Source organism: Homo sapiens, chromosome 6, assembly GCF_000001405.40.
Source record: "Homo sapiens chromosome 6, GRCh38.p14 Primary Assembly".
Lineage (NCBI taxonomy): Eukaryota > Metazoa > Chordata > Mammalia > Primates > Hominidae > Homo > Homo sapiens.
Window position 1 is genome coordinate 13959660 of NC_000006.12, and position 17123 is coordinate 13976782.

The following is a 17123-nucleotide window of genomic DNA, read 5'->3' on the forward strand; positions in this document are numbered from 1 at the left end:
GTGAGGTATAATGTAGAATCAAAGGTGACTCCTAGTTTTTGAAAAACTGAGAGAATGGTGGTGCCATTTATTAAAATGGGGAAAACTGCAGGAAACAATTTGGTGGTAGTGAGAGGTGAGGGTTGAAATTTGTCTTAGACCTGTTAAATTTGAAGTGTTTGTGTTAATACAAATGGAGGTACTGTAAGCCCTCTGGAACTCAGAGGGAAGGGATAGGCTGCAGACACAAACTGGGGGGCAGTCATCATGTCATGATATTCAAAGCTACTGGAGGAGATGGAACAATCCAAGGGAAAGAGTGCAAGCAAGGGCTAGGGAGTTCTAACATCTAGAGATTTGATAGAAGAGGAGCTGGCAGAAAAGATTGAGAATAGTGATCAGTGAACTAGGAGGAAAGCTGGAAGACTGTGATGTCATGGAACCTGTGAGAATAGATAGTTTCAAGAGTAAGGGTATAGTCATTGGGAAGAAGGTGAAGGACAGGTGAGACAAGGTGAAGACAGAAAAGGATCCATTTGCCTTTACAATCAGCCTCTGCTTTCAGGAACCTTGTCTTGATTGTCTTTGCATCCCCAGCATCTTGCACATGGTATGACACTTAATAGATATTAAGTAAATGCTTGCTGAATTATTAAATGAAAGTGATAATATATCAAAAGAGGGCTACATCATGAGTCCATCAAGAATTAAAACCTAACTTGGCCAGGTGCAATGGCTTATATCTGTAATCCCAGCACGTTGGGAGGCCAAGGCAGGAGGATCACTTGAGGCCAGGAATTTGAGACCAGTCTGGGCAATATACCAAGACCCCGTCTTTACAAAAAACAAACAAACACAAACAAAAAACCAAACCCAACTGTTACTCTTTTAAGTGAATTCTATAGCAGTTGAAGACGACTTTTCTGTCAATCACAAATGTATTGATGAAGGACAGTTGGTGATTTTCAGCCATGGCTTTGGGAGTAATATGTACTTTTTTGATGGAGGGAGAGAGAGAGTGTGTGTGTGTGTGTGTGTGTGTGTGTGTGTGTGTGCGCGCGTGCACATGCATGTGATGTACAGTATTAGTTACATTTAGTGAAATAGGCATCAAAATAATCTACTTAAGTTTGAAATTGTAGAAATGGTACATATAACCTATGCTAATTTCTTTAGACATTTTAGTTTTTCTTGATAAGGTTAGAGAGTTTTATTAAACTTTGGCCAAGGGAAATTATGAAGGAAGAAATTAATAGGAAAGAAATTAGTCTAATGGAAGAAGATTCAGTCATTCTTAATAATCTAATTTTCAGGCCATATTCTTATTAATCATGATCTTAAATTATATCTTTGTTTGCATCTTCCAAATAAAGAGTAAGGTACTAAGCAAAAACCTAGACTTATGAGCTTTATATATTATTTGTTGGCGTTCCATATAGATAATATAAACAAAAGAGAAATAATGACATTTCCCTCTCAGCTTATCAGGTAGCGGAAGTTATTACAACATTGGTAAATTGTGCTTTACTTGCTGTACTTACTATCTGCTCTATCTATAGACAGAAAACCTGTATACCTTCTGATACTGTGTTCAATGCATATTCTGTCTACTACCAATTTAGAATGCTGAAGTACCATATCAATGGATCCATTATTTCTAAATTTCTAGTCGCATCCATATAGTGCTTATGTATGTAAAGTATTTACACCTAAATGATTCCATTGAATCCTCACAACCACTTTGTGAGGCAGGTGTTGTCTTTTAGTCCAAGATCACAGTGTCAGAGCCAGGTCCCAAATCTCGGTCTCCTGACTCTAGATGCTATGTGCTTCCATTGTAGACTGCCTGCAAGGGATGGTCATACTCCTGGCTGCACTTCCAGAGTCTTGAAGAAGAAAGCAGATGTGGATACCTAAATATAGGGTGCGGAGTACCTGGTTTTTTTCTCTCTTATTCCTGAACATTTATTGGTTTAAAACTGCTGGCAAACAGCACAGCATAAATCACAACTCCATATATAAAAATAGTGGCCTCTCTTCCAAAATTAATAACTTAGATTGCTAGGTTATTAACTTGGCTGTATCCTAATAAATAGATTATGACTCTCCATCAAATTAAATTGCATGTTCTTGGAGGAGGGGGGAGGTAAGAGTTTTAATTGTTGAGGGAGGCTTTCTGGAATTGCTCCTTATGCTGCCAAACAACCATTAGGGGTTATGGGTATTGTGGGTTAAATTCTTCTAGAGTCAGCTGATGGTCCTTCAAGAATGAGTACTTGGCATTTGTTGAGCCTATTCTTTTTAGGATTTTTGAGTTGGAGACTTTTATTATAGTGAGAAGGATTTTTTTGAATGGCATTTTAATGAAAGGCATAGTTTTTAATGAAAGGCATAGTAAAACCCTTAATTCTGAGACCATCGTCTCTACAAAGTTCAACTATTGTTAATGCTCACTAAGGGATAACTGATAATTGGGACTGAGGCCAACATATTATTGTTAGTAATTATTAACAGTAATGAGAGTCTTTTAAGCTCTAACTAGAATCCAGCTTCTGAATCTCTAGGTGGAAAAACTGGACTTTCTTGGAGGTAGATGCCACATGTGTGGTTTAAGCTTAATTTGAGACTCAAGCTCCATAAATAATGAGGTTAGGAACATCGGGTTTTGTGAATGAGCAATTGGGTGTCAGAGAGATGGCAAGCATGTGTACTTTATCAATAGCTGAGCGTAAAAACCAATGTTCTGCCTTGATAGTCACAAAGAAAAATGATGCTACAAGTGCTAGAATCTCTCATATGTTTTTGAAGATAGAGTTATTAGTCAAAGAATTTAAGACATCATAGAAACTGATAATCAAGAAGTGAAAGTGTTTGAAGAGTGATTCTCCATTTTGCACAAAATAAATTGAACATAGAAGCAGGTATTTAGCACCATTTATAAAAACAGAAACCATAGTTAATGAAAATGACAATACCTTAACTTCTATCAGTTTTCTTGTTACAGAGCCATTTAAAATATATTGTCTCATCATCTAGAAAGCAGTGTTTACAACATTTATTTTCCAGGATGGGAGGAATATTTTGGAAATGAGAGTTGAAATTTGACAGTTGTCTTTTCATAAGGGGAAAAATATAATCTCTCCTGTTGATGCCGCATTAAAATGGTTGATGGATTCTATAAGAATGATTCAGGCTACATGAAACTGTATATGAAATATTTTGAAGAAACTCAACTTACCCTAAGACCTATACAATTAATTCATATGGACAGTGGAGTAATACATAGCATAGAGCCCTGGATAGATAATAGGATCACAGTGACAGCTCTGTTTTTTGTTTTGTTTTTTTGAGCTCTACTTATTTTGACTTTTTTTGTCCTGACTTCTTATGTAATCTTAGGAAAGATACTTCAATGGATGTTCATATGCCTATTAAGTGGGAATTATAATTTCCCCTTACTGTAGTAGAGCTTATGCAGTGTTTCTAAAATTTTTGAGCTTTTTAAAAAGACTTGAATTAATAGAAGTTATCATAATACAAATTATTAAAGTTTATGCATGGAAGAATACATAGAAACTGTATTTTGACTGACAGAACTTGCAAGATGTATGGATTGGACAGCTTCAAAGTTCATAAAAGAGTCTTCTAGGTAGGCATGATACTCATTGATAAATGAGGGAAATAATTTCTTTGGGCAGAGATTGGCTTTGGATTAATTTGGAAAGAAATAGCATGCTATTTTGCTTATCTATTGTTACAAAAGCACCTCAAAACTAGTGGCTGGAAACAACAGCCATTTTATTGGTTCATGAGTCTGTGGCTCAGCATTTTCTACTGGGCTCAGTGGGGCACATTCTTCAGCTGTTCTTTCATGGTGCTACTCATTCAAACAGGTGTTGTCCCTGGTGGTTAGTTGAGGCTGGATGGTCTCTAATGGTCTCACATGACTAGAGTTGGTGCTGGCTTTTGTCTGGGCCTTTCTCTCTATGGTTTCTCATCTTCAGAGAGGCTAGCCTGGGCTTCTTTGATGGTGGTCTCAGAATTCCAAGAGAGCAAGAGCAGAAGCTTCAAGACACCCTGAGGTCAGAAATTTGCTTCACACTCTTAATGTTGGTCAAAGCAAGTCACAAGGCCAAGATTTAAGGGGTGGGGAAAAACAGATTCCTCTACTTGTTGATCAGATGAAAAGAAGATCACATTGTAGAAAGTATTTGTACAGGTCTGTGGAGAATTATTGCAGCCATATTTGCAGACAAGTTGCCACACATGATAGGGGCTAGGGCAAAGAGTATTTAGGGGAGATGGTTTAGTAATAAATTAAAAAATTTGAAATTGAAGGGTAATATCATGAAAAAGTGGGGAAGAAGACCCAAAAACAGTTCAAGATCCAAACAGCAAAGACTCAAGACAATCTCAGTTAAGAAAAACACGAATTTTTTAAAATGTAAAAAAAAAAAAAGAATCATTATCTAACTAGTATATAGAAATACAGGTCTTTGAATTAAAAGGTAGAACTTGAAAGGCATTATTTAGGAAAGATAGCCAAAGGCAAAGGAAAATGATTCTCATACCCTTGAGTGTCCAGTTTATGGATTCTTAGAATGAGACAGTTTGATATAGAGGAAGTAAAAAATAATAATATGCAAAAAGGAGAATTCTAAAAAGTGAATTTCAGAAACAGTTAACTTAGGGATGAGTATCAGTTTGGTACATATCTTTATGTAATAGCCGCTGAACATGCTTAGTATTGCCAATGTTCTGCCCAAATTAAACTTTTATCACAAATTTCCATTTTTCCATCTAGGTAAATATTTGGGAAAAACTCCAGGAATTATAGTTGGCAAGGATTCTTGAAAGATAGCAAGCTAAAGTGGCTTGCTATCTTGCTCTCTCAATTCTACTCTATCTGCCTTTCCTGATCCCAACGACTCCTGGAGCCAGCAGACCCCTGAGTGCAAGTGAAACCCCAAGCTTTGTGAAAGCTGAGGGTGGGGAGTGGGGAGCAGATGGGGGATTCCTTCCTAGGCTTGGCTGGTACCGAGGGCTGGCATCCATTTGATGAGTCCCACCAGAAGATCAGGATGCACTGGATACTGTGATGAACTTGACCTACAGAGGGTGGGGACTCCTGGGAGGAAAACTGAAACTCACCCTCACCCCATAGTGTGTGTGTTCCACAAGAGACCAAGGAGAAAAATCCATAGTTGGGTGCGTCCTTTGGAGCAGGAGACCTTGGAAGGGTCCTGGCAGCCCACCTGCTGTCACACTGCTAGATCACAGGAGAAGAGACCATTGTGTTTCACCCTACTCATAGAACTTCAGTTCCATGGGTCCTTCAACAATCAGACCTGAACCCCAGTGATATAACAAAGAAAAATATTGGCACTGTAGCCAAAGGGAAGGCAGTCTATGAGAACAGACAGAACTCACGCTGAATGTGATGGAGCGGCAGCCAGAGACAGATGACAACCTGACAAAAAATAGAAAGAGCACATAAGGAGATGCAGATGCAGCACAAGAAGACTTTCTAGAGATGAAATGCATGATTTCCCCATCAAACATTTTAGTAAATGAACTGAAGGTGATAATGATCATTCTTGGGGCTTGATTTGGTAGCCTAGTTGGTCAGCTAGAAGAATCTGAAAGTACAGAACAAAAATATAAAGGAATGGAAACCACAAAAGAAAATAGATCCAGGAAATATAACATGTGAGTAACAGGAAAGCCAGAAAGAGAAAAAGGAACAGATGGAGGAAAGGCAATAATTAAGTAAATATAAGAAACAAATTTTTTGAGCTTAAAAATCAGGACTTGAGTCTGTAAATTCAAATAGCTTATTAAGTTCCAGGCAAAATTTATGAAAAAAGACACTCTGGATTTATTGGAAAAGTTCTTGAACTATATATTAAGAATAAGAGGCAAAATCTTAGAAGCTTCTAGACAGAGCAAATTACTTACCATGAAGAAGTATCACACTAGCAGCAGATTTCTCATCTGTGACACAGAAAACTAGAAATAGTAATTTCTGCAGGCCATGGAGATGTTACCAAAATACCAAGGGTTTGGTCTAGGCCCTACTTGCTCACCACACAGAAAGCCAATCACGAGACGATGAGTATTGCCAAGGAAGAAGGCTTTAATTGGGTGCTGGGGCTGAGGAGATGGGAGATCCTTCTCAAATCCATCTCTCTGACAGACTAAAACCGAGGGCTTATATAGCAGGGCAGAAATGTAACAATGTATAAGAAAACAGGAACTAGAGAGGGGCAAGGAAGCAATCATGATCAGTGAGGGGCCCCTCAAGGATCTGGTGTGGTGATCTGGTGAGTTTCAGTTCTTTGATACTTTTTTTTGAGTGGACTGGAAGTACTCTCCTGAGGACGGAGCTCAGATAAAACAAATACAAGTTTTAAGCTTTAAGACAAGAAAGGGCAATCTATGTTTATACAAAAGAATAGTCTATAGGACTACTGGGTTGGTTTCAGAGAGAAAAAAGACAGCAGCCAGAAAATCCCATACATTTCCCTGTCAGGAGGAAATTTATTACTACATAAGAATTTAGAAATATCATCACCTATTTTCTGACAAAGATACTCAATAATACAAAGAAAAAGTAACTGAACAAAAAGTTAACCAGAAACACAGACCTTGAGATACAGGAAGATGACAGGAGGGAAATATTTGGAATTGAATCAAATAAATCAAGTGAGGAGGAAAGAATGAGTTAATATATAACAGCCTTTACATTAAAGGTGAATGAACTTGGAAAATTCACAAATTTTTAGAATTCATTAGATGTTTTAATTGGAAAATTGTCAGACTGAGTTAAAAACCAAAACCCAGGTCAGGCATGGTGGCTCATACCTGTAATCCCAGCACTTTGGGAGGCCAAGGTAGGTGGATCGCTTGAGTACAGGAGTTTGAGACCAGCCTGGGCAACATGGCAAAACCCCGTCTCTACTAAAAATACAAAAATTAGCTAAGCGTGGTGGCGCACACCTGTAATCTCAGCTACTTGGGAGGCTGAGGCGGGAAGATTGCTTGACCCCGCGGGGTGGAGGTTACAGTGAGCTGAGATCATGCCACTGCACTCCAGCCTGGGCGACAGATCAGGAACCTGTCCCCACCCCCCCACCCCCCCACCAAAAAAAAGTAAAACCCAGTAGTATGCTGTTTTGTGTGTGTGCGCGTGCGTGTGTGTGTGTGTGTGTGTGTTTTCAAACATGCTCTCTCTGTTGCCCAGGCTGGAGTGCAGTGGTGCAATCATAGCTTACTGCAGCCTCGGCCTCCTGGACTCAAGTGAGCCTCCCATCTCAGCCTTCTGAGTAGCTGGGACCACAGGCGTGCACCACCACGCCTGGCTAATTTTTGTATGTTTTTGTAGAGACAGAGCTTTGCCTTGTTTCCTAGGCTGGTCTCCAACTCTTGGGCTCAAGTGATCCACCTATCTTGGCCTCCCAAAGTGCTGGGATTACAGGCTGTGTACCACATCTCTGGCAGCTGTTTATAAGAAACATTCGAGATAAAGTAATTGAAGATGGAGTTGAAAGGATGCACATACATCCCAGGCAAATGCGGAGTCAATAGAACAAGTAATATAAGCTTTAGATAAGGTATAAAGGTTGATATTTAAGTTAAAGGCATAAATAGGATAAGGAAAGACATTATATAATGACAAAAAGAGGCAGAGTTTATGAAGAAAATAAAGTTGTATATGTAAGCTAACATAGCCACTAACTCTGTAAAACAAAACTGTTAGAAATGCAAATATAGTTATAGTGAGACACTTAAATAAACCTCTCTCACTTGTTTTGACCTGTGATAACCTTGCACATACCTTGATGATTCAGAAATTGAATAAATTAAAAAGTTAGGTTTAATAGGTATTCTAGAACCACACAGAATATTTCTTTCTAGACTACTTAGAAAAATATACTTTACCACAAAGAGCACCATAATAAATTAAAAGGAAAAGATTTTCTTATAGATTTTGTTCTCTGATCATAATCCCGTACTATTAGAAATTACATATGGCAATAAAAAATAAATTTTATTTAGAAATTTAAGAAAAGTATATAACCTTTTTAAAATTTATTAATTTTTTTTTAAAAAATAGAGATGGAGTCTAATATTGCCCTGGCTAGTCTCAAACTCCTAAGGCTCAAGTGATTCTCTACCCTCAGCCTCCTGGAATTACAGGCGTGAGCCACCATGCCTGGCCCTGTATTACCTTTATATCAAAGGAGAAATCAAAGGTCAAATCACAAGCCATCTAGAAATCAATAAAAGGTACACAATCTATTCCACAAGCTATGGGATAGAGTGAAAGCTGTAGCCAGTGGAAACACTATAGTCTTTAGCTATTTTCAGTATTTAAGCATAAAGACAAAGTGTACTCTTAGTATGAATTGGGAAAAAAATCATAACAAACAAAAATAAATTAGAGGGAATAATAAAGATAAAAGCTGAAATTAATGAAATTAAAAGTAACAGAAAGGATAAATACATATATTAGTTGGTCTTTGAAAAGCACAGTAAAATAGTTTGATTAGGTAATTAATAAGGAGTAAAACAATTTAGAAGACTATAAGTGAGAAAAGAAACAATCAGGGGCAGAGGTGATGCAAAGACGATAACAGAATTTGCGGAACTCTACAGCAATGAATTTGAAAACCCAGAAGAAATGGATTTTTTCTTTGTCAAATATAAATGTCTAAATTTAACTGAGGAAGAAATGAACATTTGAATAGGACAGTAACCCTAAAAGAGATGGAAAAATGATTAAAGATCTACTACTGCAAATGACAATGGAATCATATGAAATTACAGCTGAGTTTTATGTAACTTTTAAAGAACACATAATTTTATCAGTATTTAAACTGTTCCAGAAGATGAATAGCTCGTGTTTCACTTATAAAATAAGCATACAGTTAATACCAAAACCTAACAGCACAAAAAAGTCTAGAGACCAATTTAATTTTCAGTACAGATGTAAAGTTTCTCTAAGATTTCATTTGGGGTGGTATTCAGGCTGATACTGGTGGAGGAGAAAAGAACCAAATAAAAAAGAATGCACACACACAAAGGCCACTAATAAATAAATAAATATGTCTGATGACCTTTGTGTATTTATATATGTAAATGTGTTTATGTGTACATGTGCATGCATGTGTGCACGTGTGCAAATGAAATCTTAGAGAATGCCTATTGCCTGTGAGTTTTGTTGAATTATTTATTTATATAAATTTCTGTAATACTAAGTAGGAACCTAGATCTAAAAACACAATAAATTCTCAACGTCAAGTACAGCATGGTAACTGTATTAGGGCACTTTGGGTTGTAAGTAACAGAAATCCATCCAGAAAACTAGCATAAGCAAAAAAAGGAATTTATTGGCTCACAGAAACCTTCATACATTATTGACTTCAGAAACTCAGTTCAGGTCTCATCAGGCTTGTCTCTGTTTTTTGTTGTTGTTGTTGTTGTTGTTGTTGTTTTACCTCTGCCTCTTGTTTTCCTTTACTGTCTTAATATTTTTGGCTTTATTCTTCTTCTTCTCCCTCTTGCTGCCATGGCAGTTTCTTGATACATCTTTTTCTGGTTCTGTATCCCTTCCCCTGGTCCCTGTCCTGTCCTGTCTTGTCCCTAGCTTCAAATAAAGAGTTGCAGTCAGGAGCTTTGAGAAGTCCGGTTTGGGTCACATGCCCATTAGACTAATCCTTGTGAGTAGGGGAGTAGTGGAGTATGTGATCAGCCAGGCCTGGTCCCAAGTCCACACCTTTGGAGAGAAGGGAGGTACTATGATTAGCACAGCCCACCCACCATTTTGTAATTTGAGTGAGTAGGAAACACTACCCCGAAGAAGTGGGGGCAGTTGGGAAGGGAGCAATGTGATCTAAAGGAGAAAAAAAGATCCTAGGTAGACAATAACAACAGGTGTCCACTGGAGGGACTTTGCTTTAAAATATAAGCCAAGTTTGCATCTTCACCATCAAGGGAATTAAGTAGCAGAGTAAGATGGATTTGAGTCTAATAATAAGTGGTTTATTATTTAGGGCTGTGAAAACAATCATTTGCCCAATAGTCCAGGAGCTCAAGCTAATTTATGAGAATAATAGTAGGTAATTATTTATTTGTATAGTCTTATCCCCAGATGACTTATAAAAGGATGAAAGACTGTTCATTGGTTAGTTAGGAATACCAGCTTCATATATTTGAAAATGTATGTATTTTTCTAGGAAAAGAAAACTTTGTATTTATTTTTAAGGCAATTTCAGCATACCAGATTCTTTCCTCAGTGTCTGGTGAGACATACTTTAGCACTTGTTCTTATCAAGGCATGCTACAGATATGTCCATCCTAGAGATTCATCCATTTTCCCTCTTTTGTTAATATATAATAATTTACATATTTATGGGGTACATGTGAGTGTAACATACAAAGAATGTATGATGGTCAAGTCAGGGTAATTAGGGTATTCATCACCTTAACTGTTTATTATTTTTATATGTTGGTATTTCAAGCCTTCTGGTTACTTTGAAATATACACATTATTGTTGCTAAGTATAGTCACCCTAGTATGCTATCAAATATTAGAATTATTTCTTCTATCTGATTGTATGTTTGTACCCATTAACCAACCTCTCTTCTTTCTCCCTCTCCCACCTCATCCTGAGATAAAGTTTTTTAGCTCCCATATGAGTGAGAACATGAGGTATTTGTCTTTCTGTGCCTGGCTTATTGCACTTAACATAATCACTTCTGGTTCCATTCATGTTGCTACAAATGACAGGATTTCATTCTTTGTTATTGCCAAATAGTAGTTCACATTTTTTTATCCATTCCTCTGTTGATGGGCACATAGCTTGATTCCATATCTTTGCTATTGTGGATAGTCCTGCAATAAAAATGGGGGTGCATGTATCCCTTTGATATATTGATTTCTTTTTCTTTGGATAGATACCAAGTAGAAGAATTGCTGGGTTGTAAGGTATTTCTATTTTTAGTTTTTTGAGAAATGTTTATACTGTTTTCCATAGTGGTTGTACTAATTTATATTCTTACCACCAGTATTGATTTATAGTAATGCATGAATATTAAGGTGATAGATACGTGACATTTCAATTTTGTGAAAAAAATTAATGGACTTACATACAGATCATATGGAAAAAGTAAGTTGATCCAAAATACGCGTTGGCAGAAAAATATACATTTTGAATGTAGAAAAATCTGTATCTATAAAAATAGCCAAAACAGTCATAGATTCCCTTTCTTTCCTTTTTCGTTTTCTATTTCCTTTCCTTTCCTTTTTTACTGTGAAAGATAACACTAGTACAGAAGACGTACTGTGTGATGGAGTAGCACAAAATGAACACTTGTAAGTACCACCCCGGTCAAGAAGAGAGCATTGTTAGCCACTCCATAGCCTGCACTAAGTCTGCTTGGACACTGTTTTTTCTTCCCTTCAAGGCGTCGGCTGTCCTGATGATATGATTTGGCTCTGTTTCCCCACCCAAATCTCACCTTGAACTGTAATAATTCCCACATCAAGGGTGGAGCCAGGTGGAGATAATTGAATTATGGGGGCAGTTTCCCCCATACTGTTCTCATGATAGTAAGTTCTCATGAGATCTGATGATTTTATGAAGGGTTTCCCATTTTACTTGGCATTCATTCTCTCTTGCCTGTCACCACATAAGATGTGCCTTTGCTCCTTTTTCGCCTTCTGTCATGATTGTGAGGCCTCCCCAGCCATGTGAAATTGTGAGTCCATTAACCCTCTTTTTCTTTATAAATTACTTAGTCTTGGGTATATCTTTATTAGCGTAAGAATCAACTAATACAGTAAATTAGTACCAGGAGTGGGGTACTGCTATAAGGATACCTGAAAACGTGGGAGCAACTTTGGAACTGGGTAACAGACAGAGGTTGGAACAGTTTGAAAGGCTCAGAAGAAGACAGGAAAATGTGGGCAAGTTTGGAACTTCCTAGAGTCTTGGAGGGCTCAGAGACAGAAAGATGTGGGGAAGTTTGGAATTTCCTAGAGACTTTGAATGCCTTTGACCAAAATGCTGATAGTGATATGGACAATAAGGTCCAGGTTGAGGTTGTCTCAGATGGAGATGAGGAACTTGTTGAGAACTGGAATAAAGGTGACTCTTGCTATGTTTTAGCAAAGAGACTGATGGCATTTTGCCCCTGCCCTAGAGATCTGTGGAACTTTGAACTTGAGAGAGATGATTTAGGGTATGTGGTGAAAGAAATTTCTAAGCAGCAAAGCATTCAAGATGTGATTTGGGTGCTGTTAAAAGCATTCAGTTTTATGTATTCACAAAGATATGGTTTGGAATTGGAATTTGTGTTTAAAAGGGAAACAGAGCGGCTGGGTGCAGTGGCTCATGCCTGTAATCCCAGCACCTTGGGAGGCCAAGGCAGGCAGATCACGAGATCAGGAGATCAAGACCATCCTGGCTAACACGGTGAAACCCCGTCTACTAAAAAATACAAAAAAAAAAAATTAGCTGGGCATGGTGGAACGCGCCTGTAGTCTCAGCTACTCAGGAGGCTGAGGCAGGAGAATGGTGTGTACCCAGGAGGTGGAACTTGCAGTGAGCTGAGATTGTGCCACTGCACTCCAGCCTGGGTGACAGAGCAAGACTCTGTCTCAAAAAAAAAAAAAAAAAGCAGGGCATAAAAGTTGAGAAAATTTGCAGCTTGACGATGCAATAGAAAAGAAAAACCAATTTTCTGAGGAGAAATTGAAGCTGGCTCCAGAAATTTGCATAAGTAATGAGGAGCCAAATGTTAATTGCCAAGACAATGGGGAAAATGTCTCTGCATATCAGAGGTCTTTATGGCAGCCCCTCCCATCACAGACCCAGAGGGCTAAGAGAAAAAATGGTTTTGTGGGCCGGACCTAGGGCCTTGCTGCTTTGTGCAGTCTTGGGACTTGGTGCCTTACATCCTAGCCATGGCTAAAAGGGGTCAATGTACAGCTCAGCCCATGACTTCAGAGGGTGCAAGCCCCAAACCTTGGCAGCTTCCATGCGGCATTGAGCCTGTGGGTGCACAGAAGTCGAGAATTGAGGTTTGGGAACCTCCACCTAGATTTCAGAGGATGTATGGAAATGCCTGGACGTCCAGGCAGAAGTTTGCTGCAGGGGTGGGGCCCTCATGGAGAACTTCTGCTAGGGCAGTGTGGAAGGGAAATGTGGGGTTGGAGCCCCCACACTGAGTCCCCACTGGGGCACTGCCTAGTGGAGCTGTGAGAAGAGGGCCACTGTCCTCCAGACCCCACAGTGATAGATCCATAGACAGCTTGTACCATGCATTTGGAAAAGCTGCAGACATTCAATGCCAGCCTGTGAAAGCAGCCAGGAGGGAGGCTGTACCCTACAGAGCCACAGGGGCAGGGCTGTCCAAGACCATGGGAACCCACCTCTTGCATCAGCATGACCTGGATGTGAGACATGGAGTCAAAGATTTGGCTGCCCTGCTGGATTTTGGACTTGCATGGGGCCTGTAGCCCCTTTGTTTTGACCAGTTTCTCCCATTTGGAATGGGTGTATTTATCCAATGCCTGTACCCCCATTATATCTGGGAAGTAACTAACTTGCTTTTGATTTTACAGGCTCATAGGCAGATGGGACTTGCCTTGTCTCAGATGAGACTTTGGACTATGGACTTTTGAGTTAATGTTGAAATGAGTTAAGACATTGGGGGACTGTTGGGAGGGCACGATTGGTTTTGAGATGTGAGGACATGAGATTTGGGAGGGGCCAGAGGTGGAATAATATGGTTTGGCTGTGTGTCCCCACCCAAATCTGACCTTATATTGTAATAATCCCCACATGTCAAGGGCAGGGCCAGGTGGAGATAATTGAATCATGGAGTCAGTTTCCCCTATACTGTTCTCATGATAGTGAGTTCTCACAAGATCTCATGGTTTTATAAGGGGTTTCCCATTTTGCTTGGCATTCATTGTCTCTTGCCTGCCGCCATGTAAGACATGCCTTTGCTCCTCCTTCACCTTCTGCCATGATTGTGAGGCCTCCCCAGCCATGTGGAACTATGAGTCCGTGAAACCTCTTTTTCTATATAAATTACTCAGTCTTGGGTATGTCTTTATTAGCAGCATGAGAATGGACTAATAAACCTGACATGTAGTCTAATCACCGCCAGAGTTTTCATCATAGCTTTACCACCTAAGCTTGCACCCCTAAATGCTACAGCTTGGTTCTGCCTGGTTTGTGAACTTTATATTAATGGACTCATACAGTATTACTCTTTTGGACCTGGCTTTCACTGAACATCATGATTGTTGTCCACAGCTTTTGACAGAAGTGAAGGCAGGTTGGAGATGGGCTGGAATGAGTATCTCTTAGAGACCCAGAGAACAACTCTGACTAATTATAACCCTAGAAAGGTTTAGATTTTTGGTTATTATTCAAGTTCTTTGAGGGATCTTAAAATCATAATAAGATAGATGAAACTTTTTTTTTTTTAACTGTAGCAGTTGGTAGCCTGGCTTTTCAAGAGGAACAATCACCATGCTCTTTTCTGCCATTCCAGGAAGAAATACTTGTGTTGGCTGCATTTCCAGGGATGCTACCAGAGCTCAAGGCTGTCACCTGGTCTTGCCCAGAAGAGCCGTTCTTAGAGGCAGGACTTGATGAAGGCTTTCCTGCTGATGGAATAGGTTTGCTAGAGCTGGCCTTGGAATTAGAGTAGGTATATTTTTTACTGGATATTTGAATATTGAGTATTTCCATTGCACGTTACCAAGAAGTCCCTTATATAAATTTGTATAAATATGAACATTATAATCACATAACACTCTATCTTAACATACTCAGTAATCTGATAGAGTATTTCTGTGACAAAACAAAGCTTTGTTTCAAATAATAGCTCAATATTTTCAAGGAAATAATTTAGGTTCACATAATTATCAGCTAGAAATTGTGGCTGGCCCAACATAAAGTGTTACTGCTACTCTTCTAATGGTTGGAAGCTTGGTACAGAAAGTAGGAATGTGACCTGCTGACTGTCAAATGCTGATGTTCTAATGTGTTCTTACGTATTCATAAACACTCACATGTCTACTCTAGCTTTCTGTACAAAATTTCTAGGTGTAATTTTGCCTAGTTATCTTCACTGGCTGTTTTACTCTTTTTTTCTGATGTCTTTATGCATGTGTTTACATACTTTCTTTTCCTTTTTCCACATGACTTCACATACCTCAGTCCTTTCTATGGCAATGGGGACAGACACTGCTGCTAACCCTACTGGGACCATCAGCTTCCTAACCTCTGGATTCAGGAGAGCATTACATCTGGGTGGGCATGTAGCTGCAAAGAACAAATGACATGTTCCATTTGGGTGGGCTGAAGTCTGTGTGTGGCTACCAGGGGTACTGTTGTAAGAGCCTTGTGCTCAGCAGGGAATGAATGGGAGCTTTCCAGGTGGCAGATCACCAGTGAACTGCCCAGGGCTGGGGACTGTCCCATGAAGTGAGCTAGGACTGTGTGTGGTGACCAGGATAGAACTCCTTCTTGTTCTTTGGCTGTCATCCTGAAGATGTTCATCCCACAGGAGGAAAAAAAATGCCAGCCTTGTGGAACTGTGAGCAGGACATAGTCATATTTTGCAGTGACATGGGCATGTGTATCCTGAATGGGATCAGGATCAGGAATGAGGGAAATTAGGGCACATGGAAGGAAAGGAGAGAGAAGAGTTGATGTTTCTGTCTGTATATCTTTTTTGTGTGTTAGGCTAGATACATAGAGCTTGGTTCGTGGTAGCAGTTTTGAAATACAGGCATACATATACTGTATTTGAAAAAATCCTACCTACATTTTTGGCTACCAGAGATTCTATAGATTGACTTCTTTTTGCCACCAACTATACATCTTGCCACTGCTATCCGTTACACATTCTTGTAGAATAGGAAGTCAATTAAAAATTAAAGTCTTAAAATGAAGATAATATGTATTAATAAGTCAACTATTCATGATTTTTAAAGTTATCCAGATTCAGCTACCCACTGCCTTTCTCTGTTAGTGCAGTATGATCCATAGCAAATTTAAATGTCTAGCGCAGTTACTCTCTGCCCTCAGAACTGTTATGACAGCTTTCTGCTATTATTGCTTGGAGATGTGCTCAGAAAATCAAATACATTTTGATATTTTTCTAAGCCAAACATAATTTAAGGTGAATCAACTACCAAAAATACTACATATATTAAAGCTAATTAAAAATAATTTTGAGATTTTGTATATTACTGCTCCCTTCCATTAGTACTGAAAATTGAGAACTGACTGTGCATATGAAATTAACCTTCAACCATTTGTCCAAAGCTGGTAATAACCAGTAATAGTAATTAGTAATAGCAAGGACTGTAGATTGTATTACACTTTCCTTTTACTAAAGAAAGAGTTTGCATGAAATAAAGTAGATGAGTAAGTGAATGTTGAGTATTTCTTCATAGCCATGCACAAGTGATTTCTTCATGTCTAGAGACATAGCTATGCATGTTTTATCTGTGTTTACTTCTCTTTCTTGGGACTTAGACTTGACTTGTTCATAATGCTTATATCGGGTGTTATATGCCTCATTCTTCCTTTAATGAATGTATATGCACAGCTGTGGTTTTCAAGACTGGTATTGAAACAAAAAAATTGAAATGGAATAATCAAACAATAAAAGCATTTATATAACAGATTTCTTTACACTGAGAAGGTAAGAACAGTCTGCTCTACTTAAATATGCTCTTATCTCTATCAAAGCAGTCTCTGAAAACACATTTTTAACATTTGTCCTTAATATTCCCTTTTGTGTATTCCTAAGCACTATTGACGGTATTTAGACACCTGGTATTTACACCAACAATACTCTGAATTAGTTTTCTGTTTCTGATACATGTCCCATTCTGTTTTCAGAGGCCAGAATTTGTTACAAGTTTCAGAGTGAAAATCTCTTGTATCTAGACTAAAGTATGTTCTAGAGCACATAGCTAGCTCTACACTGTCCTTTACACCCATTAGGATTCTTAACTCTTTCTTCACTATCATGCTTGTTGACTGAAACAGCTAAGCATGGAAATAACACTTTTCCGTTCCAGGGACAGAAGTGTGTGAAAAGATGAA

The 17123-nt window shown here is 38.7% G+C and overlaps 1 protein-coding gene across 7 annotated transcripts in view; it reads left to right on the forward strand.

The window, feature by feature from the left end:
• The window catches only part of RNF182 (ring finger protein 182), a 55865-nt gene that overhangs the window by 35214 nt on the left and 3528 nt on the right, over positions 1–17123 (forward strand). For 3 of the 7 annotated variants that reach the window (NM_001165034.2, NM_152737.4, XM_047418371.1), the window contains exon 2: positions 14551–14705. The exons of 2 other annotated variants lie outside the window; for them this stretch is intronic. The gene's annotated coding sequence lies outside the window, so the exon portion shown is untranslated. Of the gene's footprint in view, positions 1–1820; positions 1904–14550; positions 14706–17123 lie in introns of all 7 variants that reach the window. 2 more of the 7 variants (NM_001165032.2, XM_047418370.1) reach the window with 1 other exon arrangement.